Source organism: Homo sapiens, chromosome 5 (assembly GCF_000001405.40).
Source record: "Homo sapiens chromosome 5, GRCh38.p14 Primary Assembly".
Taxonomy (NCBI): domain Eukaryota; kingdom Metazoa; phylum Chordata; class Mammalia; order Primates; family Hominidae; genus Homo; species Homo sapiens.
The window spans coordinates 98983095-99003085 of record NC_000005.10 but is presented as its reverse complement, the minus strand read 5'-3'; the positions used below and the strand labels follow the sequence as shown (position 1 = coordinate 99003085).

Below are 19991 nucleotides of genomic sequence, written 5' to 3'. Positions count from 1 at the left end.
ATTTTTATTGAGATTGTTTGGATTTATAAATTAATTAAGGGAACAATTAGATTTTTGTAGCATTAAGTCATCTCATCAGTGAACATGATGCATCTACTTATTTGGAAATTTTATATCTTCTATTAAATTTTGTAATGTTCTCAGTAGAGGTCTTGCACATTTTTATTAGTTTTATTTCTAATTGGTCTCATCCCAAAAAATTAAAATTTATTAGAAGCTCACATTCTCATCCATCTACCTCCCTTCTCCCCTTTATAGCCAAACTTCTAGAAAAGTCCACATACATGTTTCCATTTACTTACTTCACTTCCTCTTAAACATAATGCAATTTGGATTCAATTAGCCCCACTTCATCAAAACTGCTCAGTCACCCATGAAATGCATAATGAAAAACTCGAAAAGTCTTTTCTCAATTCTTATTTTGCTTAACTTTTAAAAAATTTTAGATTTAAAATTTATATAAACTCACTTATTATAATTCATATTTCTATGAATTTTGACAAATTCATAGAGCATCATCACGGTCATATACCAAACAGTTTCATCAGGCTGGGCACAGTGGCTCTCACCTGTAATCCCAGCACTTTTGGAGGCCGAGATGGGCAGATCACTTAAGGTCTGGAGTTCGAGACCAGCCTGGCCAACATGGTGAAACCCCATGTCTACAAAAATTAGCTGGGAGTGGTGTCCTGCACTTGTAATCCCAGCTGCTCAGGAGGCTGAGACAGGAGAATCGCTTGAATCCAGGAGGGCGGAGGTTGCAGTGAGCTGAGATCATGCTGCTGCACTCCAGCCTGGGCAACAGAGCAAGACTCCATCTCAAAAAAAAAAAAATAGTTTCATCACTCCCCAAATTCCTTCCTGCTTCCTCTTTATGGTGAGCCTCCATCTCTACCCTACTCGTGGCAACCACTGATTTGTCTCCCATCTTAATATTTTTGACTTGTTTAGAATGTTAAATATGTAAAATCATACAATATAAATTTTTTTGCTTCTATCTTCTTTCACTTTCACAAAATATATTTGAGATTCATTCATGTTGCTACATGAATCCATCATATTTCCCATATTTTATTGCTAAGAAGAGTTCCAATGTATAGATATACCACAAATTGCTAATTCATTTATTCAAGTTTGAATTGTTTCCAGGTTTTGACAACTACAAATAAAACTGCAATAAACATTCATGTACAGATTTCAGTGTGAACATAACCTTTCATAAATCTTGGGTAAATATCTGAGAGTCAGACTCCTGCATTATGAAAAGTATGTTCTTACATGATAGAATATATGATGGTAAGTATCGTTTAAATCTGCTTAAATCAACGAGGTTGTCAAATTGTTTTTCAAAGTGGCTATGACAGCAAAATATGAGGATTCCAGTTGATCCACATCCTCACCAACATTTGGTAATATCAGGAATTTTTCTCTATTCTCATAGGTATTTTGGGCATTTCATTGTGATCATACTTTGCATTTCCATAATGAGTACCATATCTTTTCATATGCTTATTTACCATCAACATATCTTTTTGAGTTGATTTGTTTATATTTTTGTTTTTTTAATTGTTGAATTTTGAGCATTCTTTATATATTCTGAACACAGGTTCTTGTTGTTGTTGTTGGTGGTGGTGGTGGGGCTGCTGGTGGTTTTTTTGGTCAGAAGTGTGACTTTAAATGTTTTCTTCCAGTCTGTAGGTTTGTCTTCATTTTCTACCAGTGTCTTTTTCAGAGCAAAAGATTTTAATGTTGCTAATTGTTGGACTTCTTAGCAGCATTTGACATAACTTTCTCATCTTTCAGGTCTCAGCTTCAGAAGGCTTAGCTGAATTAGCCTTCTTCAATATTTTTATCTCAGTAAATTTCTACCATATTACCCTCTATATTTTCTTTATGGCATCTCTTACATGTTGTAATTATTTTATTTATGTATTATGTTTCTTATGTATATTCCCCACTATGTTGTAAACTCCATGAGTATTAACTGGCCATGTCTGCTCTTTCACAATAGTGCTCTCAGTGACTAATAGAGAATCTGGCAAATAGTTATGGGAAGGAAGGAAGGGACAGTAGGTCTTGAAAGAGAGGTCAAAGGTTATTCTGATAATTCTAGCTCAAGAAATTGGCTAATTGTTAATAATTTAAATGAAAATCGAATATAGAGCAGGAAGAGATGGCTTGAGAGAAAAGTTAATATATTTATTTAAGGCCTACTAATTTTAGAGAATATCAGGAGACATGGTGGTATCTGCCAAATTTCTCCATGTAATTATCCCTCTTTTCCCATTATTAATAAGTATGTTAGGGGTAATAATTTGAGACTATGCAAATATCTTATTTTTCCTCAAACTTTTTCCCACTGATTTTAGAATCCTTCCACATATTTTACCTGCAACAATTGTGTTTGTCTATTGGAAATTTTAAAGTTTCCTCATTCTTTTCTCATATATTAATTGGATTTTTCTATAAAAAATAAGCTTTCCTTTCTCTCTCAAATATTTATTTATTCAACTATTCCAAATCATATTCCTTCTGTTTGCCTTATTTGCCAGGCAAGTGAGGATTTAGCAAAACAACAAGAGAAGAGCAAATGCTATTTAAAAAGACAAATCACAAACAATTTTCAAATTTTTCACATTAGCCTGTCAAGCCAGATGGACTGGTCAAACAACAAAAAAGTTAGATTAAGACGAGGCACACAAATACCATTGATCAAAGCAACATGAGTCCATAGAAAACAAAGTTACCACAAAAAGACAAAAGTACTTACCGACTGTGTGTGGTGTCTTAAGAGCAAAAGGTAAGTCAATGCATTTTGATAACTAATGTTCACTTTGTTCCTCTCCGACTCTTACTGGGTAGAGTTTCTAAATACAAGAAGAAACTAACTGCTTTATTTCAAAATGGGTAGTGGGTTTTTTCTCTTCTTTTAAAATCGACTTTTATTGTATTCAAAACAATGGATAGTGGTTTTAATGGTTTATTTGAGCAGGGGCTTTTTCCCTCCAACCAAGACATCTATTATTTTTCAGAGAAAACCCAACCAATACATTGTTGGGTTGAAGCAGTATGAATATTGATACCATCAAATGTTTCTGCCTTAAGAAAGATTATTTCCACGCCTATATCAATAATCTATTTTTTGCAAAATAGGTTTTGCAACAGATTGGTATACTGTGAAAGAAAAAAAAACATCATTTGCCTGTGAGGAGAATAAGCATTGGATTTTGGAAATGAGCCACAATTTCTTGGGTTGCCTAAGAACAAGCCACCAAACTTGCCTAAACCTGATTTTCCCATCTATGAAACAGTAATAGTTTTTACCTACCTCATTAAGCGATGTCAGACATTAATTAATGTTCATAATGGGCTTGAGATCTGTGATTAAAAGCTGTCATCGTTGATGGAAAACAGAGCCATTCAACTGTTGAGGAGGAGTAAACAAATCGGGGAAGATATGTAGTCCATGAGAAGAGATATTGAAAAGTGAAAAATTCATCAGGAAAGGGGAAATGGAGACTGAGTCAAAAATCTCATCTGATCTATAAGTATTTGTGATTTTCCCCATGGAATTAAGTAATATACCTCCCTAATGTCTTAATAAGGAACTATTCTTTCCTACACTAAGATTCTTAACCTTCTAGTGCCATCGAGCTTTTAAATATTTTAGCAAAGCCTATGGACTATTCTTGTAATAATTTGTAAATGCTTTTAGAAATATGTAGGATTATGAAAGAAACCAATTTTATCAAGACACAGTTTTCAAAATGTTTTCAAATTTAATTTTAGAGTAATACATATGCTTCTTTATTAAATTAAATGAAATCTAATGGCAGTCTGGTAACTACCATAATTTTTAAGTAGTGATGGTTATAAACAACACTTCAAGATATTTGCAGCAACTCCAATGCAATATAAAAATTTCAGTGTTTTCTGCTGATGACAAAGTTAATACTGTGCTTTGTTGTCTACATTTACAATTTTTTTAATGTTAGGTTTAATTAGGAGTTACTGAAAATAAAGATGTATTTTACCCCACCCAAGTTCGTGAACACTTTAAATTTTATTCACAGGCTCCTTTGGGATGTTTGGATCTCAGGTTTTAAGAAATCCTATTCTACACTTCTCCTGGAATTTCTAGGGTAATACTAAGAAATAAATATTATTTCTCAATGTGTAATCAGGTAATCACAGGTACAAGTGTTTATTAAAATGCAAATATGTTGGCCTTTTCCTAGACTTACTAAACAAAACTAGGGATGGAGAATAGGTGTGAATCCATATTTTTAGTAAGTACCCAGCTGACTGACATGTATACTAAAGTTTGAGAATTGTTAAAGAGTTGATTACCTCAATAGTCATCTTCAATGGAATCATAGTTATCAAGCCAAGGAGTCTCAAATATTAGTTTGAGATATCATAACATAGTAGCTCTGAAAGGGAATAAGAAATTTTAATTTTTCAACAGGAATTTCAAATATTATGATGAATATATTCTCCATTCCATTATGAGAAATATTCCTAACCAAAGACATTAAAAGTCAAAGTAAAACATCTGCCTGAAAATGAGAGGTGCTGCTGAGGAGCTTCACATCAGAATCTTCAACAGTACTCCACTCCTTTTCCTTTTCTGCACCAATTAACATTCTTTAAAAGAGTATCCTCACATAGAACAGTTAAATACAGAATCGATGCATTATGTCACAGAAGATACAAAAGAAGAGTGGCACTTATTTCTGCCCATTTAAAACATTATGCACTCAACTGGTAGGCAAAAATTAAATTTGTCATCAACATGAAAAGCAATAATTATAGAATAATAGGGTTGCAGAAGATCTAAAGATCATCTCAAGCTTTCAGTTACTACCTTTTTGGCTTCTGCCTCACAAATCTTTATCCCTATCCCAGAACTCTCTGTAATTTGATTTCAGACCAGTATATCCAACCACCTGCTAGACATCTATTCCTGAATATTACAGACAACTACAAACCAAAACTGAAATCATCACATTCTCTCTTACATTGTTTGTCTGGGGTTTTGGTACCCCCATCTTACAAGGCATTCAGAAGTTATCCTGGACTTCTCCCTAATTTTTTCTTTGCTAGGAGACACTGAGACACTTTTGGGGTGGCTGACCAACTTTAAAGCTCCAGCAGTGGCCTAGCATCCCTTAAGTCTGCATTTTTTTTTTTTTTTTTTTTTGAGATGGAGTCTTGCTCTGTCACCCAGGCTGGAGTGCAGTGGCGCAATCTCAGCTCACTGAAACCTCTGCCTCCCGGGTTCAGGCAATTCTTCTGCCTCAGCCTCCCAGTTAGCTGAGACTATAGGCGCGCAACACCACGCCCAACTAATTTTTGTATTTTTAATAGAGACAGGGTTTCACCATGTTGGTCAGGATGGTCTCGAACTCCTGACCTCGGTGATCCGCCTGCCCCAGCCTCCCAAAGTTCTGGGATTACAGGTGTGAGCCACCACGCCCGGCCAAGTCTCCATTTTTGGAGTGCCAATCTCCAATATGGCTGATGTTGTAAGATGAACATAGTGCTTGGATGCTGTGTATCCTTCTGATACAGCTTTCATGCCCCAAACTAACTCCAAAAACACAACTACAGACCTAGGAAAGTTTAGGAGATTATGTTTTACATGAGTTCAGATTTAGGCCTCTTTGAGAAATGCCTTTCATGCCTATGATTCATTTTTCCTTGTATTCATCTTTACGTTCCCCTCACTCCATTCAAGTCATAGGATTTCCGGATCTGAATTTAGGGTATAGTTCTTGGTGAACAGTCTTTCAGTCTGCCTCTGACCTAAACAAGAGAAATCCTTGGGGACCCACAAAGTCCTGATTGAATCACGAGTAGACTACATTAGAATTGGAGTCCAAAGCCCAACCTAGCAGCATATGACTCAGAAGTTGGAATTCTAGCCAGCTGCGGTGGCTCATGCCTGGAATCCCAGCACACTGGGAGGCTGAAGTCGGATGGCTGCTTAAGCCCAGGAGTTCAAGACCAGCCTAAGCAATATAGTGAGACCCTGTCTCTACAAAAAATAAAAATTTAGTCCAGTGTGCTGATATGTGCCTATAGCCCCAGCTACTTGGGAGGCAGAGATGGGAGGATCACTTGAGCCCAAGAGGTCAAGGCTGTGGTGAGCCATGATTGTGCCACTGCACTCCAGCCTGGGCAACAGAGCAAAACCCTGTCTCAAAAAATTTAAAAAATTTTTAAAAAGCAGAATTTGGAATTCTGATCACCAACATCTGGTGTAGTTAAACTGATCAAAGCATATATACACAGCTAAGGTTTAGGACGTAAGATCACTAAAGAATCTTAAACTTTAAGGGCTGTTGTCCTATTTATGGATAAATCCCCACAAGAAGAGCAAGGCTAATGCACAAGTATGGGATCCAGTAAGTAGACCATTGTCTTGGTGAAGACGGGGATTCAGTTCTAGGGTGTCTGGCTCAAGACAGAGCCTCAGTATGTAAACTTCTGACTTAAAAATACCAAGTACTGCTGGATTGCTCTGTGTTCTCCACTCCAAGATCAACTTTCTTCTTCATCCTATTCCTCAGCCAGGGCTGAAGGAATAATATTCAATGCTAGAGAAAATAGGCAAATTCCTCCTGGAACAGGAAAATAGGTGGCAGAAAAGAATGCCTGCATCACCCTGAGAAGAACAACTTTAACCAAGGTTTTGTGATTTCGACGCTGAAGAAAGGTGAGATTTGGGGAACGAGACTCTGCAGAGATAATATCCTTCTCAATGAGCCCCTGTATGCACAGTGCTGGAAGAACTTGGAGCAAAGAAAGCTAGGGTTCTGCTGGGATTAAAGTAGCTCATAGTGGCCTCTGTTCATATATTATTGAACTCATATTTAGTGGAAGATGACCTAGAATATACCTTAGAGGAAAAGACTCGGGCTGAAACATGGCCCTGAGTTAGTCCCAACAGTGGGAATGCATGGATTTAAAAGAAAATGTGCATGGTTGCAGGTAAACAGGAGGGAGACATGCAAGAGAGCCTGAGACACTGAATCTGATATTAGAGCTTTGATTTCTCTGTAGGAACAGAGAATTGGCTTGATATTGGGAAAAGATTTGTATTGTTAAAATGTATAAGGTGTATACAGAAAATAACTTACATTATGTGGTGCAGACCTCAAGGGCTCATTCTATTCTATAGTGGTTGAGAGGTGGATTTTGGAGTCAGACCATCTGGGTTTTAATACTACTTCCTCTATGGGCAAGTCTCTTAACCTCTTGTCTTCTCTTAAAAGTAGAAAAAATAATTATACCTATCCATAAATTAGTTGTGAGGATTACACGAACTGATATATAGAAAACACAGAATTGTGTTTAGCACATAATAGCTGTATAAATGTTAGCTATAATTACTGTATTATAGTGTGGTAAGTTTGCCGGGCAATGCATAGCTGAGCATACTTTATTTTTATTTATTTATTTATTTTTGAGATGGAGTTTCACTCTTGTCACCCAGGCTGGACTGCAACGGCATGATCTTGGCTCATTGCAACCTCCGCCTCCTGGGTTCAAGTGATTCTCCTGCCTCAGCCTCCCAAGTAGCTGGGGCTACAGGCATGTGCCACCACACCCAGCTAGTTGTGTATTTTTAGTAGAGATGACGTTTCATTATGTTGGTCAGGCTGGTTTCGAACTCCTGACCTCAGGTGATCCACCCACCTCGGCCTCCCAAAGTGCTGGGATTACAGGTGTGAGCCACCGTGCCTGGCCTGAGCATACTTTAAAATAAGGAAAGAATCACATCTAGAGGCACATGCCAGAAAGAGTAAAAAATTTAAAAAAAGAAAAGCAAAATAAAATAAGGATAGAAATAGAAGGAGCATTTGCCTAATGCAGGCTACAAAGGAAGTAGCAAGCCCAAATACTTGTAGGGGACAGGTAAGTTGCACAAATATATGTAGACGATGTGTATTAGAGTTATCAGAAAGACAGATATAATAGGATATGTACATAGACATATGACAGGGGATTTATTAGGAGAATTGGCTCACATAATTGTGGAGGGTGGGAAGTCTCCCAATAGGCCATCTGCAAACTGGATGCTCTGGGATGCTGGTAGCATGGCTTAAACCAAGTCTGAAGGCCTCAAAATCAGGAAAGCCAATGGTGTAACTCTCAGTTGGAGGCTGAACGCCTGAGAATCTGGGAGCTGCTGGTGTTAAGCCCTGGAGTCCAAAGGCCGGAGCCTGGAGTTCTGATGTCCAAGGATAGGAGAGGAAGAATGCATCCCAGCTCTAGGAAATAGATGGACATATTTGTCTGTCCTCTGTTTTTGTTCTCCAGCCCTGGCAAATTGGATGGTGCCCACCCACGTTGAGGGAGGGTCTTCCTCACCTAGTCCATTCACACTCACATGCTAATCGCTTCTGTAAACACCCTCACAGACACACCCCAAAATAATGCTTTACCAGGTTTCTGTGTATTCAGTAATCCAGTCAAGTTGACATCTAAAAGTAAACATTACAAGGTGTATTGGGGAGTTCAGAGACAGGGAAATAAAGTAGCGAATAATAGAATCTAGAAGAGGTAGTTGGCTTTTGCAAATCAGAGTAAGCATGTCTATAGTCTAAGGGCATTCAAATTCAGTATTTATTTATCAAAAGTGCTAACCAAATTAAACAGTTTTTGGATCATTCTAAGAGGCTAGCTCCCAGTTGGCCACATACATAGTTTTGAGTTGTCATATGTCATTTCGGTTAAAATATTGTCCTATCCTATTTCTGATGTGTCTAGAGGAAACACCATGCCTTGAGCGGGCTACATGGCCCATCTCTGGATGATGCAAAGCAGCTGTGGTAAGGATTACAATCAGTTAGGGCATTTCTTTTTTTTTTCTCTTTGAGACAGGGTCTCACTTTGTCACCCAGGCTGGACTGCAATGGTGTGAACATGGATCACTGCAAACTCCACCTCCTGGGCTCAAGTGATCCTCACACCTCAGCCCCCTAAGTAGCTGTGATTATAGGGGAACACCACCATATCTGGCTAATTTTTGTATTTTTTGTAGAGACAGAGTTTCCCCACTTTGTGCAGTTTGGTCTTGAACCCCTGAGTTCAGGCAATCCGCCTGCCTTGGCCCCTCAAAGTGCTGGGGATTACAGGCATGAGCCACAGTGCCTGGCCCAGTTAGGGTATTTCTAATACTCTGTGATCTCATTTGAATGGAACAGCAACATCCCATGGTTGGAGTGTTAAATTCATGTGGGTTAACAGGAGGACAAAATAAAAGCTATTGGCTTTACACTTGAGGGAACTCAAGGCGTTTCTTGCCTCACTTCGCCTCCAAAAGAGGATACCTACTGATAACAAAAGTAGGTAACAATGCTGGGGGCTGGAGTTTTTTATGTCACTAGTGAAAAGGTTAAAGCAGTACTTTCTCAACCTTTTTCAGTTTATGCCACAGCCTGCAGTGACTGCGATAAAATTCTTTCATCCTCCTACCTGCCCCAAAGGCACACTCTGACCCTTTTCTTTGAGAAGCACTCTTTAAAGTTCCTTGAATGCATGTGGTATTGCACCTGGCTTTTCCTCACTGGGTTTTTTTCTATAAACCTTCCTTACTTTATGGGTAAGTAGTAGATGGCCTTAGGGTTCCTCCTAATTGAGAAAGTGGTGTCTTCTTTTCTTTTTTCTCTTCCATTCCTAAACCTTCCCTTTTTAAAAGTTCACTTACAGAAAGAATTCACAGAGGTCTATTTGAGCTTGTCGGTCTTCAAGAAAAACATATTTTTGCTTGTGATATACTTTTGCTTGTGACAGTTCTCTCTTTGTTTTTTTTTTTTTTTAATTTAAGTTCTGGGATACATGGGCAGAATGTGCAGGTTTGTTACATAGGTATACATGTGTCATGGTGGTTTACTGCACCTATCAACCGGTCATCTGGTTTTAAGCCCCATATGCATTAGGTATTTGTCCTAATGCTCTCCCTCCCCTTGCCCCCCAGTTCTCTTTTTCTTAAAACTTTTAAGTTTGGGGTTACATGTGCAGGTTTGTTACATAGCTAAACTCATGTCATGGAGATTTGTTGAACAGATTATTTTATCACTCAGGAATTAAGCCTAGTACCCATTAGTTACTTTTCCTGATCCTGTGCCTCCTTCCCACCCTCCACCCTTTCATAGGCCCCAGTGTGTGTTGGTCCCCTCTGTGTGTACACATGTTCTCATCATTTAGCTCCCACTTATAAGTGAGAACATGCAGTATGGATTTTCTGTTCCTGAGTTAGTTTGCTAAGGATAATGGCTTCCAGCTCCAACTATGTCCCTGCAAAGGACATGACCTCATTCTTTTGTATGGCTGCCTAGTATTCCATGGCATATATGTACCACACTTTCTTTATCCAGTCTATCATTGATGGGCACTTAGGTTGAGTCCAGTTCTTTGCTATTGTGAACAGTGCTGCAATGAACTGTTCAGGCAGTTTATTGCAAGACACATGCAATAAAGACACATGCATGTGTCTTTATAACAGAATGATTTATATTCCTTTGTGTATACACCCAATAATGGGATTGCTAGGTCGAATGGTATTTCTGTCTTCGAGGAATCACCACACTGTCTTCCACAATGTCAACCTTTTACCATCTATAAGTCATCAAGAGCCCAAACCAGTGTCTGAGTTTATGAAAAAATGGTCAAGAATGACAGGTGGAGCACTGGGCACGGTGGTTCACACCTGTAATCCCAGCACTTTGGGAGGCCGAGGTGGGTGGATCACGAGGTCAAGAGTTTGAGACCAGCCTGGCCAACATGGTGAAATCCCATCTCTACTAAGAATACAAAAATTAGCCAGGCGTGGTGGTGCGTGCCTGTAATCCCAGCTACTGGGGAGGCTGAGGCAGGAGAATCTCTTGAACCCGGGAGGCGGAGGTTGCAGTGAGCCAAGATCGTGCCACTGTACTTCAGCCTGGGCGACAGAGCAAGACTCTGTCTCAAGAAAAACAACAAAAAAAGAATGATAAGTGGAAATTAGGAAAGTGTACAAAGCTTCTTCTGCTAAGAACTGTACAGTTTTTATTTAATATTAAATATACTAATATATCACCACACCCAGGCAAATCACTTGAGGCCAGGAGTCTGAGACCAGCCTGGCCAATATGGCGAAATCCTGTCTCTACTGAAAATACAAAAATTAGCTGGGCATGGTGGCGCATGCCTGTAATCCCAGCTACTCAGGTGGCATGTACCAGTAGTCCCAGCTACTTGGGATGCTGAGGTGGTAGGATTGTTTGAGCCCAGAAATTCGAGTCCAACCTGGGCAACATAAAGAGACCCTGCCTCCAAATAAAAATAATTAAAAAAAATCAAATATATAAAATACCTAATGAATGTGCAATGCAGATGACTTCAGCAGACTCCAATTCTACTAGGAAACTTGTGGAGCTAAGATAGTAGTTATTCATTTGTCTCTCTTTAATATCTCAACACAGTTTAGAAATCAAAAGATGAGGAGCAATATTAAATTTGGTATTCAAAATTAAGGTTTACATTAATGCTATCAAATGACTTTTATTAATTTAATACTTATATGCTTGGTTTTTCATAGATCAACTTCCCTCTTATTATTTTAAATTTTTATAGACTTAGAGAGTACAAGTGAATTTTTGCTTGTTTCTTTGGTTGGTTGGTTGGTTTTTTTGAGACAGGATCTTGCCCTGTTGCCAGGCTGGAGTGCAGTGCTGGAGTGCAGGGCTTACAGTAACTTCGAGCTCCCAGGCTCAAGCAATCCTCTCACCTTGGCCTCTTGAGTAGGTGAGACCACAAGTGCACATCACCACACACAGCTAATTGTTAAAAAAAAAAAAAAAAAAAAAATTGTAGAGACTGGGTCTCCCTATGTTGCCCAGCAGGTCTTGAACCTCTGGGCTCAAGGGATCCTCACACCTTGGCCTCCCAAAGTGCTGGGACTACAGGTGTGAGCCACCGGGCCAGCACAAGTGCCGATTTGTTACATGGATATACTGCAGAGTGATGAAGTCTGGGCTTTTAATGGTCCCATTATCCTAATAGTGTACATTATACTCATTAGGCAATTTCTCATCCTTCACCCTCCACTTCCACCCTCCTACCTTTCCAAGTCTCCAATATCTGTTATTCCTCTCTCTATGTCCATGTGTACATATTATTTAGCTCCCACTTACTAGTGAGAACATGAGATATTTGGCTTTCTGTTTCTGAGTTACTTCATTTAAGATAATAGCCTCCAGTTCCATCCATGTTGTTGCAAAAAACATGATTACATGTATTTTTATGGATGAGTAGTATTCCATGGTATATATGTACCATCTTCTTTATTCAACCATCCGTTGATGGACACTTAGGTTGGTTCCACATATTTGTTATTGTGAATAGTGCTGCTATAAACATGAGTGCAGGTAGATTTTGATATAATCATTTCTTTTCTTGTGGGTAGATACTCAGTAGTGGGATGTTGGGTTGAATGGTAGTTCTATTTTTAGTTCTTGGAGACATCTCCATACTGTTTTTCACAGAAGTTGTACTAATTTACATCCCCACCAACAGTGTATAAGCATCCTCTTTTCTCTGCATCCTCACCAACATCTATTTTTTTTTTCATTTTTAATAATAGCCATTTTTCACTCCTGTAATCTCAGCACTTTTGGAGGCTGAGGCAGGAGGATTTAGACAGTCTCAACATAGACAGGGTCTTACTATGTTGCATAGGCTGGTCTTGAACTCCTGGGCTCCAGACAGACTCTTGGGCTTGAGCCCAGGAGTTCAAGACCAGCCTGGGTAACATAGTGAAACTCTGCCTCTACAAAAAATAGTAAGTTAGCCCAGCATGGTGGCATGTGCCTGTAGTCCCAGCTACTTGCAAGGCTGAGGTGGGTACATCAGTTGAGTGTGGGAGGTTGAGGCCGTAGTGAGTTGTGATCATGTCACTGCACTCTATCCTGGGTGACAGAGCAAGATTGATATGATTAGGCCTTCTGTTACCACCCAAATCTCATCCTGAATTATAATCCCCATAATCCCCATATGTCAAGGGTGAGACCAGGTGGAAGTAACTGAATCATGGGGCTGGTTTCCCCCATGCTGTTCTCATGATAGACAGTGAGTTCTCAAGAGATCTCGTGGTTTTATATGGGGCTCTTCCCTCTTCCCTTGGCACTTCTCCTTCTTGCCACCTTGTGAAGAAGCTTCCTGCTTCCCCTTTGCCTTCTGTCATGATTGTAAGTTTCCTGAGTCCTCCCCAGCCATGCTGAACTGTGAGTCAGTTAAACCTGTTTCCTTTATAAATTACCCAGTCTCGCGCAGTTCTTTATAGCAGTATGAAAACAGATTAATACAAAGTCCTTGTCCCTAAAAACAAAAACAAACAAATAAACAAAATGAACACACAAAAAACAAAATAAAACCAATCCCAGCCATTCTGACTGGTGTTAGATGATATCTCATTGTGGTTTTAATTTACACTTCTCTGATAATTAGTGATGTGGAGCATTTTTTAATATGCTTCTTGGCCATTTGTATGTCTTCTTTTGAAAAACAGCCCACTTTTTAATGGTGTAGTTTTTTCTTTTTCTTTTTCCTTTTTGTTTTTTTTAGACGAAATCTTGCTCTATCGCCAGGCTGGAGTGCAGTGGCGCGATCTCGGCTGGCTGCAACCTCCGCCTCCCAGGTTCAAGCGATTCTCCTGCTTCAGCCTCCTGAGTAGCTGGGACTACAGATGAGTGCCACCACATCCAGCTAATTTTTGTATTTTTAGTAAAGATGGGATTTCACCATGTTGGCCAGGATGGTCTCGATCTCTTCACCTCCTGATCCACCCACCTCGGCCTCCCAAAGTGCTGGGATTACAGGCTTGAGCCATCGCACCCTGCTGGAGTAGTTTTTTTCTTGCTGAATCGTTTGAGTTTCTTGTAGTTTCTGGACATTAGTCCTTTGCTGGATGCAAAGTTTGAAAATATTTTCTCCTATTCTGCAGGTTTTCTGTTCACTATGTTGACTCTTTTGCTGTACAGAAGCTTTTGAATTTAAGTCCCATTTGTCTATTTTGTTGTTGTTGCATTAGCCTTTGAGGTCTTAGTCATGAATTCTTTGCCTAGGCCAATGTCCAGAAGAGTTTTTCCTAGGTTTTCTTCTAGAACTTTTATTGTTACAGGTCTTACGTTTAAGAGTCTTTAATCTATCTTGAGTTAATTTTAGTATACAGTGAAATAAAGGGATGATCTCTTGAGTCCAGGAGATGGAGGCTGCCGTAAGCCAAGACTGCTCCACTGTACCCCAGCCTGGGCGACAGAGTGAGACCCTGTCTTAAAAGAGAGAGAGAGAGAGAGAGAGAGAGAGAGAGAGAGAGAGAGAGAGAGAGAGAGAGAGAGAGAGAGACTATTAACCCAGATAGGAGATTAAGATGGTTTCAAAATGGTGAAAAGTTTCTGGATTTGGGATATTTATTGAAGGTGAGTCTAAAAGAATTAGTAATAGATTGGATGTGGTTATGAAGAAAGAAAAATTAAAAATTACTCCAAATTACAAATTCCTTCTTTTCCTTAGACTTTACTTCAGTCAAAGATGCTTCCACCTGTCTTTCATTCTTCCTGCCTGCCTGCCTTCCTCCTTTTCTTCCCTCCTCTCTTCTTCATTCAGAATCAGACTTGCATTGCATTCTGATGGTTCAATCAGCTCCATTTTTCTCTCCTTATTTTACAAACAGCATTCTTTTTTATTTATTTATTTATTTATTATTATTATACTTTAAGTTTTAGGGTACATGTGCAGAATGTGCAGGTTAGTTACATTTGTATACATGTGCCATGCTGGTGCGCTGCACCCACTAACTTGTCATCTAGCATTCGGTATATCTCCCAATGCTATCCCTCCCCCCTCCCCCCACCCCACAACAGTCCCCAGAGTGTGATGTTCCCCTTCCTGTGTCCATGTGTTCTCATTGTTCAATTCCCACCTATGAGTGAGAATATGCGGTGTTTGGTTTTTTGTTCTTGCGATAGTTTACTGAGAATGATGATTTCCAATTTCATCCATGTCCCTACAAAGGACATGAACTCATCATTTTTTATGGCTGCATAGTATTCCATGGTGTATATGTGCCACATTTTCTTAATCCAGTCTATCATTGATGGACATTTGGGTTGGTTCCAAGTCTTTGCTTTTGTGAATAATGCCTCAATAAACATATGTGTGCATGTGTCTTTATAGTAGCATAATTTATAGTCCTTTGGGTATATACCCAGTAATGGGATGGCAGGGTCAAATGGTATATCTAGTTCTAGATCCCTGAGGAATCGCCACACTGACTTCCACAATGGTTGAACTAGTTTACAGTCCCACCAACAGTGTAAAAGTGTTCCTATTTCTCCACACCCTCTCCGGCACCTGTTGTTTCCTGACTTTTTAATGATCGCCATTCTAACTGGTGTGAGATGGTATCTCATTGTGGTTTTGATTTGCATTTCTCTGATGGCCAGTGATGGTGAGCATTTTTTCATGTGTTTTTTGGCTGCATAAATGTCTTCTTTTGAGAAGTGTCTGTTCATGTCCTTTGCCCACTTTTTGATGGGGTTGTTTGTACAAACAGCATTCTTAAAAAATGAAATTGTCACTTGTTCCACATTACTGCAAAACAAACAAAAACACAGAAATTCAGTCACTTGTTCAATGAGAGGATCTTTAGAAATAATAATAACAACAATAATAGCTGTATTTGTCAGGAGAGTCTAGGTTATGTTGCTATCATGGAAAAAAATTGGCTGGATGCAGTGGCTCACACGTGTAATCCCAACACTTTGGGAGGCCTAGGCAGGTGGATCATTTGAGGTCAGGAGTTCGAGACCAGCCTGGCTAACATGGTGAAACCACATCTCTACCAAAAATACAAAAAAGAAAAAAAAAATAGCCTGGCGTGGTGGTGCATACCTGTAACCCCAGCTGCTTGGGAGGCTGAAGCAAGAGAATCCCTTGAACCCATGGCAGAGGTTGCAGTGAGCCAAGATTATGCCACTGCACTCCAGCCTGGGCAACAGAACAAGACTCTGTCTCAGAAAAAAAAAAAATGCAGACAAAAATCCATTTCTTCCTTTATGCAAAGTTTACTGCAGGTCCAGGAATTATTCTAGGGCACGTGTTTTCTATGGATTTTCCGGAGATCCAGATTACTTTGATGTATGTTAGCTCTTTCACCTCGACTTGAGGCCTCCTTCATGACCAGCAGGGAAAGATAGATGAAGAATTGTCAATGGACTTTCACTGCATCTGCCTGAAAATGATATGCATCACTTCTGCTCACATTTTTTCATCAAATCAAGTGACACAGCAGTCTTCCATGTGTCAGGAAGGGGAAGATGATGTAACATAAATAAAACCCAGAATTGTCTACCTTATTGTAGCATTGTTACCTAATATATAAATATATAGCATTTTCTATGTGACAGGCTATGAGATTAAGACATATCTATATCTATTTATCTAATCTTTCTATTCACTTTATTCTCACAAAGCTCCTAAGTGATAGGTAATACTAGAATCCCTTCTTTTCAAATAAAAAAAAAGAAACAAAAACCCCCTGCTAATTTAATTTTTTTAAACACTTATTTCAATAGATCACATAAAATCTTTTTATTTTCAATATAGTCCTTGTGGCAGTGGCAACCATGAGAGTGTGCCTCTTAGATCTTCTACAGCAGGAAGTCTAATGGGTCAAGAGCTCTTACCTCTGTGGTCTGAAATCAATTGCTAGGTTTGCACTGAAGCCAAATTTTCCAGGAGCTGCTCCCATCCAGCAGGAAGACAGGCCTGTTCCTGGGAGATGCCAGGACTCTTCTGATGGTCTGCTTTGTGTTTTTTTGTTTGTTTGTTTGTTTGTTTTTGAGATGGAGTCTCGCTCTGTCACCCAGGCTGGAGTGCAGTGGCACGATCTCGGCTCACTGCAACCTCCACTTCCCAGGTTCAAGCGATTCTCCTGCCTCAGCTTCCCGAGTGGCTGGGACTATAGGCGTGCACCACCACACCCGGCTAATTTTTGTATTTTTATTAGAGACAGGGTTTCACCATGTTGGCTAGGCTGGTCTCGAACTCTTGACCTCAGGTGATCTGCCCGCCTCAGACTCCCAAAGTACTGGGATTACAGATATGAGCCACCACGCCCAGCCGGTTTGCTTTGGTTTGAGGACCCTCCAGTGGTCTTGCAGACTTTTCCTTTGATTACACAACAGTAAAAGTTGCTTCTCCCGGTCCTTCCTTTTTCCTTCCTTCCTGCCTGCCTACCTTCCTCCTTTCTTTTTCCCTTTTCTTCACTCAGAATCAGACATGCATAATAGTCCTATGGCTCTCCTAGCATCTCCCAACTCCCCATGTTTCTTTCATCAGTATTTACCCTAACAAATATTTTTCATATTTAATCCTATCTTGGCTTCTGCTCTTTGGAGGATCCAGACTAACACAGGGCTAGTGTATTCTATATGTGACTCTGTGTATATATGATAATAATTTGTAATTTGTAATACTTTTGACTTTTAACTAATTTTAACTTGTATTAAAATAATGTATACACATAATTTAAAAGTTCAGTGGAACAGAAAAAGGCTTATAACAAATTGTAGCAAACTATAACCTTTCCCCTACCTTTCTCAACCTATTCCTTAAATGCTACCACTTTCAATATTCATACATTTTGCTGAGGTGAAGGAGTTTGTAATGATATGCTAATATTGTTCATTCTTGTTTTGTTAATTATATGTATCATAGTAGGTAAGGATATATAACCCCATTTGTCTTTCCCTAAAATTTCTCTAAATATTTTAAATGATCAGTCACTGTTCAGAATATTAAGAATATTAAAATATAATCTAATATTGATTCACTGTGTAATATGATAGTTTTTCATTTTGAAATGTTTTCTTTTTTCCATTTTTTCTTTTTTTTTCTGAGTTACAAATTATCAATCTGTCCAATTTATGTATTTTCCCACATACCTATCAAAAATTCTTTCCAAATTCTCAGAAAGGTCTTCAAAATATCCTCAATACTATTTTGTATATAGTTAAAATGCATCAGATTATCCATCAATCCCAGACACATAGCTGCCATCCAGGAATTCCTTTACCCTGCCTTTATTTTGGGACATCCTGGATCTCAGTGCTCATGATTTGTTTCTAATTTCCAAGATCCAGGATGACCAAAAATATGTTTGGATGGAGTAATTCATTAAATAATATATATATATATTTTTAATTTAGAGACAAGGTCTCACTCTGTCACCCAGGCTGGACTGCACTGGTGTGATCATAGTTCAGTGCCTTGAACTTCTGGGCTCAAGGGCTCCCTCCCTCCTCAGCCTCCCAAAGCACTGGGATTACAGGTGTGAGCCACCACATCTGGCTTGTAATTTTTTTTTTTTTTTTTTGAGACGAAGTTTCACTTTGCTGCCCAGGCTGAAGTGCAGTGGCATGGTCTCAGCTCACTGCAACCACCTGGATTCATGTAATTCTCTTGCCTCCGCCTCCTGAGTGTCTGGGATTACAGGGGTGCGCCACCACACCTGGCAAATTTTTTTTGTATTTTTAGTAGAGACGGGGTTTCATCATATTGGCCAGGCTGGTCTTGAACTCCTGACCTCAGGTGATTCACCCGCCTCGACCTCCCAAAGTGCTGGGATTACAGGCTTGAGCCACCATGCCCGGCCATGGCTTGTAATATCTTAAGAAAGAATGGAAGGGAAGTATATTTTTTGAGACTCACACGTTAAAAATACCTTTGGTTTTTTCTGATAACTAATGAGTAGTTTGGCTAAATATAAAACTCCAGGTTGAAAATTTTTCCTTAGAATTTTGAGAGCATTGACGCACTGTCTTCTACATGTACTTACTGCTCTTGCAGTCTGATGACATAATCCTCCATATACTACTTTTTTTTCTCTCTCTTCAGGTTAAAGAATGTTCATTTTATGTGTAGTATTCTGAAATTCCACAGTGCTATGCCTTGTTGGCCTTGTTGTTGGTCTTCATTTGCTACTATGAGCACTGAGTGGACCCTTTAAACACACAGACTCGTTCTTTCAGTTTGAAAAATTTTCTTTATGTTGTGTCTTTGATAATTCCCTCATTTCCATTTTCTTTATTCTTTATTTTTTTGGAACTCCTACTAATCAGATATTGAAAGTCCTGAATTTTCTTTTCTTCTTTTTCTTTTTTTTCTTTCTTTCTTTTTTTTTTTTAATAGAGATAGGGGCCTCACTTTGTTGCCCAAGGTGGTCTCAAATTCCTGGCTTCAAGTCATCCTCTGGCCTTAAAGTGTTGGGATTACAGGCATGAGTCACTGCACCTGGCCCAAACTTCCTGGATTTTCTTACATTTTTTTCTTATATTTCACTGCCTTTTGTTGTTGTTGTTCTATTTTCTTAAGGTTTTCATTTGTCGTTTTTTTCTAAAAGGACTTTTTTGTGGGGAGGGTTCCCAAATTATCCTTTTTAAAATATAGCATCTTATTTCTTTGCTACAAAGTAACATTGTTTTTTGTTGTGAGGATGCTATATCTTCTCTTGTTTCTCTGAGAATATTACTGATTTTTTAAAAAGATTTTCTTTTCTTCTTCTTGCCCTATCTCAATATTCTCTGGGTTCCTTTTCCATATTAGGTTGATTGAACCTGTGCCTCTCATGTCAAGGGGTCATTTTCAAACATCTAGAGATCTTTGGCTAATCACCCACATTTCAGGTTAAGGCAGTATAAAGCTTATTGGCTAGTTTTATTCTCAATTACCTGGGTAAAAAGCTGACTTTTTGGTTGGGGGATCCCAAGGCTATTCAATTTTTCGATGAAGAAATCCCCTGATCTCCTGTCCGATAGGGCATAGGTCTGATTGTTGGCATTTCGGGAAAAGAACAAATGAACTCAGGGTGTCACCTTCAGTATCTGAAGTTAACCCTCCCCCATCACCATCTGCTGAGCTGGTGTCTCCTATCCCAGAGC

The 19991-nt window shown here is 39.1% G+C and overlaps 1 long non-coding RNA gene across 1 annotated transcript in view; it reads right to left on the bottom strand.

Annotated features, from left to right (window-relative positions):
- Nucleotides 1-19991, bottom strand: part of CHD1-DT (CHD1 divergent transcript) — a 75460-nt gene that overhangs the window by 936 nt on the left and 54533 nt on the right. Inside the window, exons 2-3 of the long non-coding RNA NR_151718.1 lie at nt 4351-4433; nt 3329-3424 (exon numbers count right to left, since the gene is read on the bottom strand). This is a non-coding gene — a long non-coding RNA (CHD1 divergent transcript). The remainder of the gene's footprint in view (nt 1-3328; nt 3425-4350; nt 4434-19991) is intronic.